Source organism: Homo sapiens, chromosome 12 (assembly GCF_000001405.40).
Source record: "Homo sapiens chromosome 12, GRCh38.p14 Primary Assembly".
NCBI classification, from domain to species: Eukaryota; Metazoa; Chordata; class Mammalia; order Primates; family Hominidae; genus Homo; species Homo sapiens.
Genome location: NC_000012.12, coordinates 110842008 through 110862909, shown reverse-complemented (window position 1 = coordinate 110862909; position 20902 = coordinate 110842008). Strand labels below are relative to the sequence as shown.

The 20902-nt window shown below is 49.1% G+C and overlaps 1 protein-coding gene across 8 annotated transcripts in view, besides 2 other annotated features; it reads right to left on the bottom strand.

The window, feature by feature from the left end:
• CCDC63 (coiled-coil domain containing 63) overlaps positions 1–18424 on the bottom strand; it is a 63050-nt gene extending 44626 nt beyond the window's left edge. For 2 of the 8 annotated variants that reach the window (XM_006719263.3, NM_152591.3), the window contains exons 1-4: positions 15805–15923; positions 9947–10051; positions 9336–9505; positions 4135–4324 (exon numbers count right to left, since the gene is read on the bottom strand). In XM_006719263.3, the coding sequence (XP_006719326.1) occupies positions 4135–4324; positions 9336–9505; positions 9947–9955 (369 nt within the window). In that variant the 5' untranslated portion in view covers positions 9956–10051; positions 15805–15923. Of the gene's footprint in view, positions 1–4134; positions 4325–9335; positions 9506–9946; positions 10052–10256; positions 10425–11279; positions 11584–15804; positions 15924–17154; positions 17312–18197 lie in introns of those variants that run through there. The other 6 variants (XM_011538001.3, XM_011537999.2, XM_047428443.1 and 3 more) reach the window with 6 other exon arrangements.
• Positions 2115–2615: an enhancer, noted in NCBI's record as "H3K4me1 hESC enhancer chr12:111298099-111298599 (GRCh37/hg19 assembly coordinates)". NCBI's record gives its function as "activates a minimal SCP1, AML or CMV promoter by ChIP-STARR-seq in primed H9 embryonic stem cells {active_cell/tissue: H9 hESC(primed)}" and the evidence as "EXISTENCE:reporter gene assay evidence [ECO:0000049][PMID:30033119]".
• Positions 8762–9961: an enhancer, noted in NCBI's record as "CDK7 strongly-dependent group 2 enhancer chr12:111290753-111291952 (GRCh37/hg19 assembly coordinates)". NCBI's record gives its function as "activates an origin of replication core promoter dependent on BRD2, BRD4, P300/CBP, MED14 and CDK7 cofactors, with strong dependence on CDK7, by STARR-seq in HCT116 cells {active_cell/tissue: HCT116}" and the evidence as "EXISTENCE:reporter gene assay evidence [ECO:0000049][PMID:35650434]".

Genomic DNA, 20902 nt, shown 5'->3' with positions numbered 1-20902 from the left:
GTGGCGGGTGCCTGTAATCTTAGCTACTCAGGAGGCTGAGGCAGGAGGATTGCTTGAATCTGAGAGGTGGAGGTTGCAGTGAGCTGAGATCACACCACTGCACTCCAGTCTGGGTGACAGAGTGAGATGGTCTCAAAAAAAGAAAAAAAAAAAGAAAAGAAAAAGAAAAGAAAGAAAACAACCAATTTGTTTTCCTATCCACAAGGGCGGCATCTCCAGACTGCGCCATCACCTGAAGGCAGGCCCGCCCCCACTAGAGTTGGGCCTGCAGTCCTCCAGCTCCGGCTCCCTGTTAAGGGAAGCTGTGGCATCAGCATTTCCTGGTGGCTCTCATGAGTACATTCAGAGTTGGATTTCCTTTGGAGTCTTTACGTCAGATGCTGCTTTTGTGATGCTGGGAGTCATTCAGCCTCTGCACAATGGGAGACATTCTCCAAGGCAACGGCTGGTGGAGAATTGTATTCCCTAAGCAAGATGCTGTCTTCCCATCGGCTTATTAACTATTTTGCGAGGAAGGCCAGGTAGGGCCTGGGGAGGTCCCCACCTCCAGTGACCTCCTGTGAGGACGAGGCTTTGCCCATCGAGGGTGGGCATGGGAGGAAGGGATTCTGGTAACTGCCACCCTGGAATGAAATTGGGCAAAGATGGTTTGCACTGGGCAGTGAGCCCCAGAAACTTCTGAGGACCCCACGCTGTGTTGCCTCTTCCTAATGCTTCTAAAGACCCATGGCCCCAGCTCCTCTTCAATTTTTCTCTTTATTCCCTTTATTGCCTCCTTTGTCACCTTTCAGTCATTTATTCATTCACCAGTGTTTATTAAACACCTGCTCTGGTGCCAGACAGCAGGGGTGGGTGATGATAATAATCAAGACAGAGGGTCTCTGCCCTCTGAGAACTTACAATCTAGGACTGGAAACAAGCCACGAAGGGGGCGTCAAGCCCTAGGGGACAGGAGACACAAGGTATTTCGGGCACGCACAGTAGGGACATCTAGTGGGGAAAGATGAAGGGATGATGTCCCAGCAGAAGTAGCATTTGAGGCCGGGCACAGTGGCTCACACCTGTAATCCCAGCACTTCAGAGGCGGAAGAGGGCAGATCACTTGAGGTCAGGAGCTCGAGACCAGCCTGGCCAACACAGTGAAATCCCATCTCTACTAAAAGTACAAAAAAAAAAAAAAAAATTAGCCAGGCACCTATAGTCCCAACTACCCTGGAGGCTGAGGCAGGAGAATCGCTTGAACCCAGGAGGTGGAGGTTGCAGTGAGCCGAGATCGCACCACTGCACTCCAGCCTGGGTGACAGAGTGGGACTCCGTTTCAAAAAAAAAAGAGCATTTGAGCTGAGACCTAAGTGATAAATAGGAGGTCTCCAAGCAAAGAGGACAGGGAAAGGCACTCCAGGCAGAGGGAATAGCACACGCAAAGTCCTGGAAGTGAGGGACAGTACTGTGGGCTTAAAGGACACGAAGAAGGCCTCAGTGGGTGGAACACAGAGCAGGTGGGGGCAGGGGAGGAGGTGAGAGAGGCAGGCAGAGCTGATGCAGCCCCACTGGGGAGTTGGGCCTTTATGGAAAGAACAACAGGAACTTTCTGAAGGGTTTGAAGCAGACAAAAGATGTGAAGAGATTTCCAGATTCATTCAGTAGTGATCTGGTTTGGCTCTGTGTCCCTCCCTAATCTCATGTTGAATGGTAATCCTCAGTGTTGGAGGAGGGACCTGGGGGAGACAATGGGATGGTGGGGGGTGGTTTTTCATGAATGGTTTGGCACCATCCCCCTTGGTATTGTCTTGGCGATAGTGAAATCTCATGAGATCTGGTTGTTTAAAAGTGTGTGGCGCCTCCCCCGTCTCTCTCTTCTTCCTGCTCTGGCCATGTGACGTGCCTGCTCCCCCTTTGCCTTCCACCATGATTTATAAGTTTCCTGAGGCCTCCCCAGAAGCAGAAGCTGCTATGCTTCCTGTATAGCCTGCAGAACTGTAAGCCAATTAAACCTCTTTTCTTTAAAAACTTCCTGTCTTGGCTGCATGCCGCGGCTCACGCCTGTCATCCCAGCACTTTGGGAGGCCGAGGTGGGTGGATCACCTGAGGTCAGGAGTTCGAGACCAGCCTGGGCAACATGGTGAAACCCCGTCTGTACTAAAATTACAAAATTAGGTGGGCGTGGGGGTGCCTGCCTGTAATCCCAGCTACACGGGAGACTGAAGCAGGAGAATTGGTTGAGCCTGGGAGGCAGAGGCTGCAGTGAACCAAGATCATGCCGCTACACTCCAGCCTGGGCGACAGGAGTGAAACTCTGTCTCAAAAATAAATAAATAAATATTTAAAAATAAATAAACTACCTGTTTCAGCCGTTTCTTTATAGCAATTAATTAATACTATAATAGAAATAGTAAATGTTTACTGAGGATCTACTGTGTGCGGGACACTGGGACAGGCACGGGGTTGCGGGCAGGGGTGGCACTGTAGAGAACAAAATGGATGTGGTCCTTGCCCTTGTGAAGCTGTCAGGCTGCTTAGGGAGCCGTTAAACACCAGAATAAGGCATAATGACAATGGTGGGAAGAGCTATGAAGGGGGTACTGTGGGGAGCCATGGGATCCCCCACTTGCCCCCCAGACCCACTGCTCTGTGCCCCAACAGGCTGACCTGGCTGCATCGCTGAGGGGCTCCCTTGCACTGAGGATCAGAGGGTTGGAAGAAAGGGGAGCCATTGCCCCTGGCTTGCCCCAGGCTCTCCAAGTTCCAGACCACTGCCCCCTCCCCCGCTGTTGCGAACCCTAGTGTTTCAATGTCCCTACTCATGCTCATGCCCACACCCTTGTAAATGGTTCCTGCATTAAACTCTTCTCAAAGTACCCTGCTGGGGGTGCTCTGGGTTCCAGCCAGAACCTGACTGACACAGGGAGGTATAACCTGGAGAGGGGGCACAGAAAAGGCCTCCCTGAGAAAGTCACATTTAAGTTGAGACCTGAAGGACAAGCGGGAGTGGGGGAAGGGGTGGGAGTGGGGGAGCATAAGCAAAGGCCCTGAGGTGGGCCAAGGGGTAGGCAGGGGCTAGATCACGCAGGGCCTTTCAAGCCAGGGTAAGGGGCATGACCATTAATGTTGTCCTGCAAATACTTCCAGCTCTTTGCCTTCCAGATAATGAGAGGGTGGCCCTTCCCGGACCCCTTTGTGGATGGGTAGGATCACGTACATGACTATTTTCTCTTGCTTTTTCTTTTCTTTTTTTTTTTGTTACCATAATCAGAAAACACGACTATTTTGAGCCCCTGGGTCATGAGCAGAAGTGACGTGTTTCAGCCAGGCACGGTGGCTCACGCCCGTAATCTCAGCATTTTGGGAGGCCGAGGCGGGAAGATCATTTGACATCAGGAGTTTGAGACCAGCCTGGCCAACATGGTGAAACCCTGTCTCTACTAAAAATACAAAAATTAGCCAGCATGGTGGTGCACGCCTGTAATCCCAGCTACTCAGGTGGCTGAGGCATGAGAATCACTTGAACCCAGGAAGCAGAGGTTGCAGTGAGCCAAGATTGCACCACTGCATTCCAGCCTGGGCAAGAGAGCAAGACTCTTTCAAAAAAAAAAAAGAAGTGACATGTTTCACTTCCAGACTGGAATATTCAATGGCCAGCATGAAACCCTCTAGAACTCTTTCTTTCCCATAATACCTGGCAATGTTCAAGATGGTGGCTATTCCTTCAGCCTAGTCCCAGTGTGAGAAGATATAAGGGCTCTTAGCCAACCCACAACAGTTACGTGTCATCAACAAGGAAGAAACCTTAAAGTTTTAAACCACTAAGAATGCGTGAGGGGGTGGCATTTATTCCTGCAGCATAACCAAGCCTCTCCTAACTGATAGGGTGCAGCTGTGGGGGTTTATTCACGGTGCAGCAGGTGGCACTGGGGAGCACGGCGGAGGGATGGATTGGTATGGCTGAGCCTGGATACTGGAGCCCAGAGGTCTCAAGGGTAGCGAGACGATAGCAGCAGTCACATTTAGCGGGCTGTCCAGAGGAGATACTGTGATACAGGGGTGTCAGGTCTGGCCTAAGGCATCACGAATATGCACCCCAACTCCTCCCCTTTGCTCTGTGTTCTGGTTAACCCTTTAAGAGAAAGACCACACCTTCTCATCCAGTTCAGCCAACAGCACTTTCAGGGATTTAATCAATGCCTCATAGTCCTCCTTAGTTTGGAGCAGGAGTCGCAGCTCCATGTAGTTCTTCTCACTCCGATTCATGTTCCTCGAGGATTTCATGAGACTCAACAGTAGGGTGATCTCATCCTGCTCTGTCTTCAGGGTCTTGATCTCCTTGCTGTTGGAAAAGCAGCCCATGATTAACCCCAAACCCCTAAGTTTAACTTGACGGAGCACTCCAGGCACATCAGCCCTGCAAGGAGACCGGGAGAGAGGAATTTCCCACCTGAGCAAGCAGGCAAAAGGGACGTGTCCATGGTCTCAGATCCAGGTCTGGAAGCCTGATCACCTGAGACCTGGTTCACCATGATTTCCTGCTGCCCTGCCTTCTCTGAGGTGGGTATTTTCTCTAGGTAACAATTTGCAGCTGTGCCTGTCAAAACCCATTACTCAGACATGGAGGAAACCCCCACGTTCTCCTTTGCCAGCAACTCCCTGGCACCTGTCTGATTCTGCAGACCATCTTTCCAGACTTTACCGCCAATTATCTCCAGTAATGAGGAGCAAACCATCAGGCAGGATTTTATTTTATTTATTTTATTTTTTATTTTATTTTATTTTATTTTATTTTATTTTATTTTATTTTATTTTATATTTTGAGACAGAGTCTCACTCTGTTGCCCAGGCTGGAGTGCAGTGGCATGATCTCGGCTCACTGCAACCTCCACTTTCCAGGTTCAAGCGATTCTCCTGCTTCAGCCTCCTGAGTAGCTGGGACTACAGCCACAAGCCACCATGCCCAGTTACTTTTTGTATTTTTAGTAGAGACGGGTTTCGCCATGTTGGCCAGGCTGGTCTCGAACTACTGGCCTCATGTGATCCACCTGCCTCGGCCTCCCAAAGTGCTGAGATTACAGACATGAGCCACCGTGCCTGGCCAGGCAGGATTTTTCAAGTTTGCATCAACACAGGGATGCATAATAGCCTCTAAGCTCCACCAGTTTCTCTCCTTGTGGTGCTAATGAGGAAATGTCTACCGGGATGTGGGAAAACAGGGGGATTTGGAAAAGAGCAAAGGGAGCTTGAAAGACTGCACAATGGAACAAGGGGAGATGGCACAGAGGCTGAGTTTCTGGCAGTCTGGAGACTGACACCCACTCCCCAATGTGGTTTGCGGATCAGTAGCATGAATGTCCTTTGGAAACTTGGAGAAATGCAGAATCTCAGGTGCCCAACCTGAGACCAATTGGATCAGAATCTGCTTTATTACAGGATCGAGTGTCCAGATGCTTCAAAAGTTTTGGACACACTGCTATAGAACAGTAAAGAATGTTCTACAGGCCCGGCGCAGTGGCTTATGCCTGTAATCCCAGCACTTTAGGAGGCCGAGGCCAGTGGATCATGAGGTCAGGAGTTCGAGACCAGCCTGGCTAAGATGGTGAAACCCCATCTCTAGTAAAAATACAAAAAATTAGCCGGGGGGGGTGGTGGGCGCCTGTAATCCTAGCTACTCTGGAGGCTGAGGCAGAGAATTGCTTGAACCCGGGAGGCGGAGGTTGCAGTGAGTTGCGATCGCGCCACTGCACTCCAGCCTGGGAGACAGAGCAAGACTCCATCTCAACAATACAAAAACAAACAAACAAAAAAGAATGTTCTACAGGCCTGGCGCAGTGGCTCACTCCTGTAACATCAGCACTTTGGGAGGCCGAGGCAGAAGGATTGCTTGAACTCAGGAGTTTGCGACCAGCCTGGACAACATAGTGAGGCCCTGTCTCTACAGAAAATATTAAAAGTAGCTGAGGTGGGAGGATTGCTTGAGCCCAGGTGGCAGAGGTTGCAGTGAGCTGAGATCGTGCCACTGCATTCCAGCCTGGGAGACACACAGTGAGACCCTGTCTCAAAAAAAAAAAAAAAAAAAAGAAAGGAAAGGAAAATGTCCTAGGACAGGAGTTGGCAAACCGGCCAAAAAGTGAACCAACAGGCATGGCTGTGTGCCAATAGAGATTTAATTACAAAAAACCAGCAGCCAGCCAGATTTGGCTGTAGTTTGTAGATCCCATTCTAATAGGACGTTCTGCAGTGATGAAAATGTTCTCTGAGGGGCCCATAGTATCCACTTAGGCACAAGTGATTGTTGAGCACTTGAAATGCGGCTATTTCAGCAGAACTAAATATTATTTTATTTTATTTATTTTAATTAATTACAAATGTAAATAGCCACATTTGGCCAGTGACCTCCTGTCTTCTCAACCAGCCTGGGGACTCTTCTGCCCTGCTTAAGCCCCTCCTGGAAGGAGGCGGGCGGGGGAAGCTGGGGCGAGTGTCTTTGTTAAGGTGGAGAGAAAAAAGAGAGTACAATACTCTACAAGAGTTAGGTTTTCAGGGTGCCGTGGCTCATGCCTGTAATCCCAGCACTTTGGGAGGCCGAGGTAGGCAGATCACCTGAGGTCAGCAGTTCAAGACCAGCCTGGCCAACATGTCGAAACCCTTTCTCTACTAAAAATACAAAAATTAGCCAGGCATGGTGGTGGGCGCCTGTAGTCCTAGCTACTCAGGAGGCTGAGGCAGGAGAATCGCTTGAACCTGGAAGGCAGAGGTTGCAGTGAGCCAAATTTGCACCACTGCACTACAGCTCGAGCAACAAAGCAAGACTCCATCTCAAAAAAAAAAAAAAAAGAAAAAAAAAAGAGGTTTTCAGAGAGGGTTGGTAAAAGCAAAAGGAAGGTGTGTCTGTCTTGCAGGCAAGGCCAGGACTGGTGTAAAGGGAGTGAAGTACCCCAAAACCTTAAGTTACTCCCTGAATGTTGTAAGCCAGGGTTGGTGCTGGGGAAAAGTGCTTCCTTAAATACTGTATAGGTGTTTCACTCTAAAGAACCTAAACTTGGCCTGGTGCGGTGGCTCATGCCTGTAATCCCAGCACTTTGGGAGGCCGAGGCGGGTGGATCACCTGAGGTCAGGAGTTTGAGACTAGCCTGACCAACATGGTGAAACCCCATCTCTACTAAAAATACAAAATCAGCTGGGTATGGTGGCACATGCCTATAATCCCAGCTACTCGGGAGACTGAGGCAGGAGAATTGCATGAACCCAGGAGGCACAGGTTGCAGTGAGCCAAGATCGCACCATTGCACTCCAGCCTGGGCAACAAGAGCGAAACTCCATCTCAAAAAATAAATAAATAAAATAATAAGAACCTAAACTCTCCACTCTTCCACCCTCCTCCTCTTCAGTTCCATCAAAGTGAAACCAGATCAAATGGATTGACTTAGTAGAGCCAGAAGCCTGTGTGTGGGGTGCTGTTGGGGTGAAGAAGGGTTAAATTCAAGAAAAATTGTCAGAGACATATCAAAAGGAGGCATTTCCTGATGCCCACCAGAGGTAGGCTTGCGAATCAGGTCAGCCAGCCACAGATGTGCAGGTTGTGGCCTGCACAACCCTAGGAAGCACCACCAGCTTGAAAACACACCACTGTTTTGTAGATTTATTACACTTTTCTGGGAGACACTTTCTTGTTCTAACAAAATCTCTACATAATGACAATTTTTCCAACAGATGACAGTAAAGCGTCTTGAGAAAGTGTACCTTTTAAAAAAATTCACATGGAGGTCCCTTATGGGCTAGCCCTGGCCCTGAGTAAGTTGAATCCATGGAAAATCTAAAGAATCCCTTTTCAGGCCGGGCATGGTGGCTCACGCCTGTAATCCTAGAACTTTGGGAGGCCTAGGCGGGCGGATTGCTTGAGCTCAGGAGTTTGAAACCAGCCTGGGCAACTTGGTGAAACCCCATCGATACAAAAAATTAGCCAGGCGTGCTGGCACACGCCTGTGATCCCAGCTACTCAGAAGGCTGAGGTCGGAGAATCGCTTGAGTCTGAGAGGCAGAGGTTGCAGTGAGCCGAGATGGCACCACTGCACTCCAGCCTGGGTTACAGAGCCAGACCCTGTCTCAAAAATAAAAATAAAAATAAAAATTCCTTTTCCCCATCCTGTGAACTTCTCATCTAACAGTAAGATTTCCTTTCTAACAATGGACAGTTTCTGCCTTTATAAACAATATGGATGCAGCTAAGGAATTACATTCCCTTGGAGGGAATCTAAGAAAGTCTGCTTAATGTTTGTGTATTCAACCCCAGGGAACACCTTTCTGTTGCCTGAAGAAATGATACACACAGCTGGGCATGGTGGCTCACACCTGTAATCCCAGCACTTTAGGAGGCCGAGGTGGGTGGATCATCTGAGGACAGGAGTTTGAGACCAGCCTGGCCAACGTGGTGAAATCTTGCCTCTACTAAAAATACAAAAATTAGCCAGGCATGGTGGTGGGCGCCTGTAATCCCAGCTACTCAGGAAGCTGAGGCAGGAGAATCACCTGAACCCGGGAGGCGGAGGTTGCAGTGAGCTGGGATCACGCCATTGCCAACTCCAGGTTGGGCGACAACAGTGAAACTCCATCTCCAAAAAAAAAAAAAAAGAGAAAAGAAATGATACACTCCAAAAAAAAAAAAAAAAGAAAAGAAATGATTGTAATTTCTGATGCAATCCAATTTCAAATATTCTATCTTGCAGTTCTCATAAGACACACAATTAGGAAACGTTGTTAGGGTTTCCGCCTTCTCTGGGAACTCCTCCACTTCCCTGGTAGGACCAAGGGAGTGACAGCCCCAGACATTTTTGTGTCCCTTGCCCTCTCAAGCCACAGCTGATTGGACCAGGAGGAGACTGCTAACCCAAGCTGAGCCTATCAGAGTCTCCGTCTCCCAGGAATGTGAGGTTGGAATTGATTCAAGACCCTCTCTCTGTGCAGCTGGTAAACTTGAGAGCTGGAGCAGCCACTTCCCACCAGCTGAGGCTGAAATTCAGAGAGAGAGAGAACAGAAGTCATGTGCGGAGAAAAACAGAAACCAGAACTCTTTCCTCAATTAGGTCCTTCCCTGAGATCTGGGTGCCCTGCCCACCAGGGGTCCCCAAAACACCCTGCATTCTGACAAGAAATTCCCCCTCTTCACTGAAGCCATCTCAAGTGAGTTTCTCTTGAAACTAGGCTCTGCAGATAAAAGACCGTGGATCCTCCAATGGGGCTCAGAGGTGGCTCCCTGCCCCAGGGGTCACAGAACAGAAGACAAGCAACATGAAGCCCAACCCCAACTTTCCTCCAAGGTCACTCAGTGCGAAACTCCAACCATCACTTACTACTGACTCGCAATCTTCTGCTGGTTTCGGAACTTAAAAGACTTCCGGCTTTCCACCATCTTCCTGAACTGCTGCCTTAGCTTCCGGAGCTCTGCCTCCGCCTGCTGCTCTTTGGCCTTCTCCGAAGGTTCCTGGGGAGTGTCGGAGTCTTTTCTCCTGTTCTTCTTCAACTGGGGGAGATGGAGAGGAGTGGGAGGCCGTAGTGGGCCAGGTGGCTAGAGAAGCCCACAGATGGGCTTAAGAGTGAAGGGCAGTGGGGGTGGCTGGGCCATGGCTAGAAGTGGAAGACCTTCCCTTGGGTGATGTCAGCTGCTTGTCTATTACATGGAAAACCCACCCTGGCTTGCTAGGGTGGAGAGATGACTGACTTGTAATTGCATACTGTGGTGAGGGGAGGGTATTCTTTGGGGTTCTGGGTTCAAACTCTGACTGTGCCATCTAGTGGGAACTTGGGTGAGTCACTGGATGTCTCTGAGCCTCCAGCCTCCCACCTACAAAATGGGTGAGCACAGATCTGTTTGTCAGGATGAGACGAGCTAACGTGTAAAGTGGATGGCACAGTGCCTGACCCCATAGTAGGTGCTCTGTGGCTGGGAGCTGGCATCACCTACCACAGACATCTTGAAGGAACCGCACTTTGCCTCCACTCAGACACTGTACCCAGAGAGCTCAAAGCCAGTGAGCCTTCCTCTCTCTCTCTGTCTCTCTGCAATGCCCTGTTCATGGTGGCAAAAGGAAGAGAACTTGTAAGCCACCCCTGCTGGGGGTGCAGGTCAGAACGGCACCTCCTCCCTCCCCCTGCCATCCCTTCCTCCACCCACACCTTGGCACATGAGGAGGATACCCAGATGGCTGCCCGGGTGTGACAAAAGGCACTTATTTGTTTTAAAGCAATGTTTGCCTGGAACCTGGTTCTCTCACCATTTATTATTAGGAGCTGGGCAGATGGTTCTGGCGTGTCAGTTACCCTCCTGCTCCCTGTGTACCCAAAGAGGGGGCAAAATGGCATCAGGGGGCCGGGCATGGTGGCTTATGCCTGTAACCCAGCACTTTGGGAGGCCAAGGTCGGTAGATCACTTGAGGTCAGGAGTTCGATACCAGCCTGGTCAACATGGTGAAACTCTGTCTCTACAAAAAATACAAAAAAATTAGCCAGGTGTGGTGGCACACACCTGTAATCCCAGTTACTCAGGAGGCTGAGGCAGGAGAATTGCTTGAACCCTGGAGGCAAAGATTGCAGTGAGTGAGCCGAGATCGCGCCACTGCACTCCAGCCTGGGTGACAGAGTGAGACTCCATCTCACAAAAAAAAAGGCATCGGGGCAGTGTGTCCCCTGATGGGGTTAAATAGAAATGTGCCCAACTTCAATTGCAGCTGTCAGGGAATCCCCACCCTCCCATCTTAGAGCAGGAGTCAGTATTCTTATCATGTCACCACTTGAACTTCATCTAGCCCATAGTTATTCAGAGCAAGGGACAGCATTAATCCCACACATCACATCCTTTGAGGTTGTGAGACCCACTGCACAGCCAATTCCAGACTGCAGGAGCTGGGTTCCAAAAGCAGAAATTCCAGCTTTGCCACCATTGAGGGTCCTGCAATGCAATGGTTTAAAGCATTGGTTGTGCCAATCATCAGATCTCATTTCAAATTCCTCCAAAGCCACTTATTAACCTCGGGCAAGCCACTTCAGTTCTGTAGTCCTCATTTTCCTCACCTGGAAAATGGGAGAAATTCTAGAAGCCATGTCATTGAGTGTGTAAGACACTCAGCACTGTGCTTGGGACGTAGTAAGTGCTCAGTACACAGTGGCTAGGATGATATGGCAGGATATGGATTGTTTCAGAGGGCGAAGGTGCAGGGTGGTGAATGTTGATGAGGGTGAGAGGGGTGTTCCTCTATCTCCTGGTAACAATACCCTGAAGTTCCCATGGGAAGCCACACCTTCCTGCACTCCTGGGGGCTGACCATACCCCACCACCTTCAAGATTGGGGCATCCGACTCTGGATGGGAGAATCAGAGCACCAGATCCCAGTCAATCTGCATGATCTCAGCCCTCTAGCCTGGGATTTCTTCGGGGGTGGATGGGCACATGAAGCTAGCTAGTCCAACCAGAGTGAATGGTGGAATTTAAGCTGGAACACTCAAGAAGAGAGAGACTTTGTTTCCTGCTGCACTTGAACCTCGGTGGATAAGGTCAGGAGGGGCTGACAGCCATCTCGCCTCTGCAAGAGGCTGAGAACCAAGCTAAAATGGAGGAGAGAAGACAAAATGAAGACAGACTGAATCTTGAGGCTTGAGAACATCATCCAAGCAAGCACCAGCATTTAGCCAAGCCTGAACATACCTCTGGGTAATGTCCAATTACAGAAATCAGTATATTCCATTAAAGCAACCTGAGATGCATTTTCTATTGCTTGCAACCAAATGAGTTCTCATACCTGAAGTACTTACATCTATTTAGCACATAAACTGAGCCCCCACTGTATGCTACACACTGTGGAATTCAGTGGTAAGTCAGCCTGCAAAGTGCCATAAATCCTGCCTATGACAAAATAGTAAAAAAGGCTCCACAAAGAAGATGACTTTTAACTTGGGTTTTGAGGAATGAATAGGAGTTCACCAGGCAGAGAAGAAAAGTTGGAGGTTGGGGGCGTATTCTGGGCAGAGAGAACTGCTCGGGCAAAGGGTGAGAAGGAAGTGACTGAAAGGAGTGTTCAGAAAACGATTTGCGCTCAAGTATAGGCAGTATCTAGTGGAAAGTGGCTAGCAAAGAGATCTGTAAAAGACTGGACGCTGCTCTTTATTTTTATTTATTTATTTACTTATTTTTAGACAGAATTTCGCTCTTGTTGCCTAGGCTGGAGTGCAACGGCACAATCTCGGCTCACTGCAACCTCTGCCTCCCGGGTTCAAGCGATTCTCCTGCCTCAGCCTCCCAAGTAGCTGGGATTACAGGCATGCACCACCATGCCCGGCTAATTTTGTATTTTTAGTAGAGACGGGGTTTCACCATTTTGGTCAGGCTGGTCTCGAATTTATGACCTCAGGTGATCCGCCCACCTCGGCCTCCCAAAGTGCTGGGATTACAGGCGTGAACCACCACGTCCAGCCTGGATGCTTCTTAAAAGCAAGGATGAGATAGATCAGCCTGGAAGAGATCAGTTCATTGCCTCCCCAACAGTCGCTTCCCTCCATGTGGCATTGTTGTGTGAGTTAGCTGCCCAACCAGGGCTTCGCCTCCCTGCTCCTCTCAGATCCAGGCAGGGCTCTCTGATGAATTCTCACCAATGGGATGTGAGCAGAGGGGAAGTCTGTCACTTCCAGATCATGACTTTTAAGAAGTGGATGTGACCTTTCCATCCTTTCTTGCCTCATCTGACATTTACAGGAGGCAGAGCCACAAGACAGGTCCCCAGATCTACTTGTAGAAGAAGTCATCTGCCAACCATGAACATCCTCATTGGGCTGTTACACAAATGCGAAATTAACTTCTGTTGTGTTAAGCCAGTGAAATGTGGGGATGTATTTGTTATAGCAGCTAGCATGCCTCAGAGAATACCCTAACTTCTTTCTGCCTAACACAAATCTGATTTTGTACCCCTTCAATGTGCCCAGTCCCAGAGGATGACTCATGATTGTTTCCTGCTAATCATGGTAACCCCACTTCCCTTTGTCAATGATTGGTCTAATGATAGACATGTGACCCAGATATGGCCAATGAGACATAAGGAGAAGTATATTCCATTCCTTTGGGACAAAAAGTGAGAACTTGGGCCGGGCGCAGTGGCTCATGCCTGTAATCCCAGCACTTTGAGAGGCCAAGGCAGGCAGATCACTTGGGGTCAGGAGACTGAGACCAGCCTGGCCAACATTGTGAAACCCCGTCTCTACTAAAAATACAAAAATTAGCTGGGCATGGTGGTGGGCACCTGTAATCCCAGCTACTCAAGAGGCTGAGGCAGGAGAATCACTCGAGCCTGGGAGATGGAGGTTGCAGTGAGCTGAGATCGCACCACTGCACTCTAGCCTGGGCAACAGAGTAAGACTCCATCTCAAAAAAAAAAAAAAAAAAGGAAATAAGAGCTTGTTCGTGTTCCTCTCTCCTTCTGCTTTTAGAAATTATTGTGAAGGCATGCATGATGGTTCAGTGGCAACCCTCCCATGACCATGAAGAGAAATATCACCGTCACACCTAAAGACAGCAAAGAGGAAAGACAGGAAAAAATTTAGGTTCTAACTGACACTGTTGGCTACTGCCCCATCCCTGGAACTGCCTACCTCTAGACATCATGTTAGGTGAAATAGCAAGAGTCACTGTTGTTTAAGGCAGTCACCAAATATTTTGTTCATTGAAGCCTAAAGCATTCCTAACTGACATGGTCCATACCTTGAAAATGGTTCTCAGGTTAATGGGTGATAGGAAAATAGTGGCTGGTAATGTAGGAACCTCTGGATTTTCCCTGATGTTTTTGAGGGTTTGGGGGCCAACTGAATTGTCTGATGTTGGGAAATTCCCACAGGCAGGGAAGTGGTATAAGACAATGGTTCTGTATCTTGATCATTTCTGGAAGGGTCCTCCAGGTAGGAGTAGAAGCTGTAGGAGGATTTACCTGACTAACAAGGTTTGGGCACAGGATGCTCTCTCTGGGACCTCTTTCAGCCCTGGAATTTGGGGCAGCTCCAATTTCATATTGTCCAGGAGCTGTTCTATGTTCCAGGGCCCTTTGGGTCCTAAGTGGATTTGTAATGCACCATCTTAATAACATGAACTGGGTATATCTGACCTTCACTGACAGTGTGATTTGACCTCTCTGAGCTTCAGTTTCCTCATCTGTAGAATGGGGATACCCACACCCATATCTCAGCGCAAAATAATGTCTGTAAAGTGGTTAGCATAGTGCCTAGCTCATGACAGACGCTGGGCGAACGTAGCCTGTTTGTGAAGTGGGATTTTCAAGTACCAGTCTGTCTGGCCCATGAGATCATTGGCTGGGTTATGCACCATTCTCCAGGAACCAAAAGCTCCATCACCTCCTGCCTTTTTGCTGATCCATATGCGCATACATAGTCACTCTCCCCTAGGGTGCTGGCTTCTCTTCAGGTTCCAGATGTTAACCCAGGCCTTTCCCTTTCGATCAGTGCCCTCTGGGATGGGCTCCTACATTCCCTGGGGAACAGATCCACCCCCTCACCCCCATCCTCATAGCTTGGCCTGCAGAGCATCTCCTGGATGTCCTGACCCCTGGCTTACCACCCTCTCATTCAAGGGTCTGAAACTCATAGTCCATGGGGCCAATTCAACCTACCTCCAGTTCTGTTCCACAGTGTTTCAAAACATAAATGTGGGTCATGCACTCACTCTCCTGGCCACAGGCCCCACTCCTCCCTATTGGCTAAGCTCCCCTCCCCACAATTCTCACATTTTCTGTAACTGCCTAGAGCCAGTAGGAATTTGAATTTGCAGTTCCTGTTAGGAATCTAAAAGCTGCCCACTTCTGGGGAACAGCGTGTGCGAGGAAAAGTGCAGAGAAGCCCAGCAGCCCAGGTCAGGGGACGTCAGGCAAGGGCCTCCTGCCCCTTGGGCCTCAGTCTATTCACCACAGCATCCATAGTCCTGGGCGCATGGGCAGCTCTTGGCAAATACAGTTTGAATGAATGAAGTTTCCTCCAGGCAGAGATCATCTTCATTTATCTAATATCTAATTAGGCCTGCACCTCATCTGCTTCTGAATTTTAACAACCTGCCTTTAAAAGACAAGCCTGCCCCCGAAGGATTCCCTAGGGACCTTGGGACAGGCAGCTATGTGGATCATATTGAGCCAGGGCTGCACAACCTGGAATTAAACATGTGCTTAGGGCACTAGCCAAACAGGAGCACAGAAACACATACACAGTTTTTTGTTGTTGTTGTTGTTTTTCTTGTTTTTTGTTTGTTTGTTTTGTTTTTTGTTTTTTAAGGATTATTATGGGAGGAAAATAAAAATTTGTTGAACTTTTTTTTTTTCCTTTTTTGAGAGCGTCTCTCTCTCTCTCTGTCACCCAGGCTAGCGTGCAGTGGTTCAATCTCGGCTCACTGCAGCCTCAACCTTCCCGGGCTTAAGCGATCCTCCCCCTTCAGCCTCCCAAGAAGCTGGGACTACAGGTGGCACCACCACGCCCGGCTAAGTTTTTAAATATTTTGTAAAGACGAATTTGCCCGAGCTGGTCTCGAACCCCTGGGCTCAAGCGATCCTCTTGCCTCAGCCTCCCAAAGTGCTAGAATTACAGGCATGAGCCACCTCGCGCGGCTCTGGAGTTATTTTACACACTACAATTTATTTATGCATGATTGCGGGAGACCCTGATACTTTCAACGCTTAGGGCAGCGAGATATGAATGGACTGGGGACCGCGACCGCTCTTTCCTTTTCCCTGGCAGGGGGAGCTGTGGCGCAGCAGGCGCGGCCGGGCGGGCGGCGAAACTTACCAGTGGCGGGGCCCGGACTGCTTGTCCGTGGCTGCTCCGGCCGCTTGTCCGACGGCTGCTGCAACTGCGCTTCCGACGGTGCCGGGAGGACTGCTTGCTGCGCGGCCTCGCTGCGCCACACCCCCAGCCCCACGCCCGGGCGTTCTGGGACCCCTGGAACGGGCGCCTTTGTGACTCGCACAAACATGGACGTTCTCCCCTGCAAGTCCGCTGGGAGGGCACAGGGCCCTCGGGAGGAGAGGACAAGAGCAGCTGGTTGGAGGGAAGCTTTTGGTTGGGGGAGAGGGGCGACACACTCTCCAGCGACCCCTTACCAGACTACCCGGACCCTCATGACGCTAAGTGACTTCTTGAGTCAATCAACAGTCTTAGCCCCTCCCTCGGCCAACGCCATGCAATCGCTGGTCCACCTCGCCCCACTCACACCCCATTCACCGTCTTCTTAGCCTACACCTACACTCATGCTCACAGCAGCCCTGCTAGGTACAGACTTCACACGCAGCTAACTCAAAGGAGCCCAGTTTTTTCTACTCTGAAAAATAAAATAAAGTAAAAATAAATTAAAAAAAAATGTTGGGGCGGGGGGGGAAAGAGATATTTCATGAGAAAAATAACTTCATCAGTGCAGGAGAATTTTCTTCAGAACATCCACCTGACCCCCACCCACTGTGAGCATAACACGGGAACCCAAGTGTGATCCAGGCAAGTGAGCTTTTCACTGCCCTAACGGAGTTTAGTGGTTTAAAGATACACATTTTTCATACAATCGGCCCTGAAACACAAGTCAACTACTTTCTCTGGGGCTAAGCTCTAGAAACAATCACAGAATTAATGGAAAATTATTGGGGGTACCTGTTTTCTACAGTAATTTTGATTCCATGTGATTTCCACTTTAACTCCTAGCCCCCTGAGTGGATTGTAGTAGCTCAGCCCTGCTAAGGTCTCCACTTCATCCGTAAATTCTTGGGACAGGATGTGTGTTTTAGAACTTACCATATTTTGGAGGCCAGGTGCGCTGGCTCATGCCTATAATCCTAGCACTTTGGGAGGCTGAGGCAGGTAGATCATTTAAGGTCAGGAGCTCAAGACCAGCCTGGCCAACATGGTGAAACCCTGTGTATTTCTTTTTTTTTTTTTTTTTTTTTTGTATTTCTACTAAAAATATAACAAATTTAGCCCGGCATGGTGGCACACACCCGGTGGGTGCCTGTAGTCTCTGCTACTCGGGAGGCTAGGGCAGGAGAATTGCTTGAACCCAGGAGGCAAAGGTTGCCGTGAGCCAAGATCACACTCACTCCAGCCTGGGTGACAGAGTGAGACTCCGTTTCAAAAAAAAAAAAAAGAACTTACCATGTTTTTGGTTTCAGAAAGATAATATGGTACGCAAGGGAGTATGTTGCCCCTAATGTTGCTGGCAGCCACGTTGTAACCATGAGGGAAGTCAGTGGGACAGTATATTACATACAGGGTTCGGGCCACACAGTCCAGATCAAACGAATTACTGTTTCTGCAAGGAAACATCAATATTCATGTCAAGTAAGATAAGGATAGATTATGAACAGCTACATGTCAGGCCTTGCCTCCAAATGATTCATATGAAGTGTTTTGGATACACTTGACCATCCTCATTTTACAGATGGGGAAACAGACTTAGAGAAACCGAGTTTTGCAGTCAGTGGAGCAGCCAGGATTTGAACCCAAGGCTCCCTGTCTCTGGAGCCCCACGCTTTTCCACACCCTGACTGAAACCACAGCCCCAAATCTGAGCAGCCCTGCAAGCTGATATCTCCCATCTCTGATATTTAAAGGGCTGCTCCAGCACTCAGCTCCATGCAGAGCCCAATGACTCACACATTTCAAGTGTCAACGACTGAAAAATGATTAAGTTCAATTAGGTTCAGGACTTGTTAAAAATAGACCTTCCTCCGACGAATTTACTCTCTTTGTCTTTATGGGCGCAGCTCTCAGCAGCCGCCATGCAGAGACGTATCAGGCTTTTTTAATTAGAACATGTCAGAATCGATTCTGCTAAAGGGACCTTCTGCTTTATCAGCGGGACTTGGAGCAGGGTGAGATGCCAGCTTGCCAAAGCGATGAGCCAGCGGTGGGAAATGTTGGCGACAGCAGAGCCTCCAGAACACAGGAGGAAATTAGAGCCAAGCCGCAGAGGGACCAGGCAGAGGCATTTGGACGCAGACCAGAAAACTGACAGTCCAAGTGACTCTTTGGTTACAAAAATCAGAAACCCACTCGAACTATCTCAAAATGAATTTTTTTCTTTGGCCTCCTCATCTGTTTCCCTTTCCTTCTTCCCAGCCAATCCCAATTTGTTCAGGTAACAGTCCTTCCCCATTGAGCCTATGTAACCAGGAGCAGTTGAGTTTTACACACACCTCCAAGGTAGATCTCCATTAGTGTTAGCAAATCACAGCCATCCCATCACCTCCTTGCCAATGACTGGGAATCTAAGTTTAAGCCAATTAGTGCATAGCATTCTCCCAGAAACTTCTACTGGTCCAGGAATAGGCGTGCAACTGACAGTGGCCTATCAGACAGAAAGGAAGAACTTGGGGTAGAGGGAGATGCTTTTCTACCCTTATGGATGCAAACAAGAAAGCATGTTGCCCCTCATGTTGCTGACAGCCCTCTGGCAACTATGAGGGAAGCCAGTGTGAGATCAAGGCTAACACACGATGGAGGGAGGAGCCTAGGGAGAATTACAGAACAATGTGGCTGGCACCCTGATCATACCTTGCCTGAAACCCACATTATGAACAATAGGAACTCTGCATTTCCTATTATGTGAATGAATACGTTTCTTGTTTTTTAAGCCAGTGTGGATTGCAGTTTCTGTTTCTTTCATCTAAAGCATGCTGCATCGTATGAATGTTAGGGCTATCTCACAAAGGTTGGAGGCAGATCCCATGAGGAACAAGAACCCAGAACTAGTAAGCTGTCAGAAACCAAGGCAGCTCCTCCCTCTAGCCCTCTCTGGAACCACCTGGTCTCTCAACTTGGCCTCTTTTTTTAAGGACTATTTTCTCTGCTGTCCCCTCTTCCTCCCATCTTGCTTCTTATAAGTTCCCATTTTAGAACTCAGTTTAAAAAAAAAAAATCAATGTCCTCATCTCAACTTCCTCATCTCTTCCCAAGAGATGCTCCAATGTCCTCCTCTCTTCCCAAGAGAATACGATTGTCCTAGTCTAGATTTGATGTCCTGGCCCAATGATGTGGGTCCAGGGGGCCATGGTCAGGTGGTCCCCAACAGGGAATGTGAAAATAATTCTCGCCAGGCGCAGTGGCTCATGCCTGTAATCCCAGCATTTTGGGAGGTCAAGGTGGGTTGATTGCTTGAGCCCAGGAGTTCGAAACCAGCCTGGGCAACATGGCAAGACTCTGTCTCTGCAAAAAATACAAAAATTAGCTGGGAATGGTGGCATGCACCTGTAGTCCTAACTACTCAGGAGGCTGAGACAGGAGGAACACCTGAGCCTGGGAGTTCGAGGCTGCAATGAGCTATGATCATGCCGCTGCACTCCAACCTGGGTGACAGAGCAATACCCTGTCTCAGAAAAATAAAAAATAAAAAAAATTTTAGAAAAGGGGGCACAGGCAGGGAGGGCGCAGTAGTGTAATGGAGAGAACTGCTCTGCTTTGCACCCTGAGAAAAGCAAACAGACCTCTCTGAGCCTCAATTTCTTGTGACTGCCAGGACCAAATTGAGAACTTTAAAGTCTGCAAAGGTTGTGAAACATTTCACCCCACCTATGACATTCAATAAAAACAGTACTGATCCACAAGCTAAGTGTCAAGTAGTCTGGATTCCAACTTCTGCTGTCATGTGTATTGAATAACATAACAAATCATTTTGGGGAAAAAAAAGTATGGGTGCCTCAACTTCACTGGTGCCATTAGTCCCACTTCATTTGTTTTCTTGGTAACAAATAAACTGTTGTTGTTCCTCAGCGAAGGAGGCCACTCCAGCCCCTTCCATCTTCCCCTGCCCTGCTGAGTGGCCTAATCTCCACGCCTGTGGTATTTGAGGTCCCCCAATCCTCCTTCCTTCTGTGGCGGATTGGACAAGAAGAGAACACCTCACGCAAGTTAAACCAATCAGAGCTCCTTTCCCAGGAAGTGGAATCTGGACACAAAATTCCCTGGGAAACAAAGGACTGATGAATAGGTTCATGAGGTGTTGGGTGCTGGAGCCAACAGACTGTGTGAAGTCAGGCCAGGGTAGCCTTCTTTTGCCAAGTCTACATTGCCGTGGCCGCACAGGCAGACCGTGCACAAAGCCCTTCCTCAGGTTTTCCTTGCTAGCAAAGTCCTGATTTTTATTCTAGACTTGGGTGGAGGACCCTGGATCTCACAGGTCTCAAGATCTCATCGAGCCCACCTGAGATCTCAGGGTGGCCAGTGAGAGGGGAAGTCCGCTGGGAGAACTTGGGGCAGGTGCTGGCCGAATGCCTCCAGTCCTCAGAGTCCGTGGTGTAAGCTGAAGCGCATGGGCCCACAGGTGGAGGGAGGTGAGTTCTGTTCCCGCTGCAGAGCCACCAAGCCCACCAGATCATCTATGGACTGCCTAATGGCCTTCAATGCATTCCACGTCCACTTAAGCCAGCTGGAGAGGATTCTGTTGTTTGCAACCAAGAACTATCAGATACAGACTTCCCCTTCCAGAACCAGGTGCTTCAGGGGCTGCAGGTTACGGTGCAGACATGGCCAAGTCCAAGAACCACACTGCGGACAACCAGTCCCAAAAACAGCACAGAAATGGCCTCAAAAAATTCTGATCACAGGCCGGGTATGGTGACTCATACCTGTAATCCCAGCACTTTGGGAGGCCAAGGTGGAAAGATCACTAAAGGTCAGGACTTTGAGACCAGCCTGGCCAACATGGTGAGAGCCTGTCTCTACTAAAAATACAAAAAAATTAGCCGGGCATGATGGCATGCACCTGTAGTCCCAGCTACTCAGGAGGCTGAGGCAGGAGAATCGCTTGAACCTGGGTGGCAGAGGTTACAGTGAGCTGACATTGCACCATTGCACTCCAGCCTGAGTGACCGAGGGAGGCTCTGTCTCAAACAAACAAACAAAA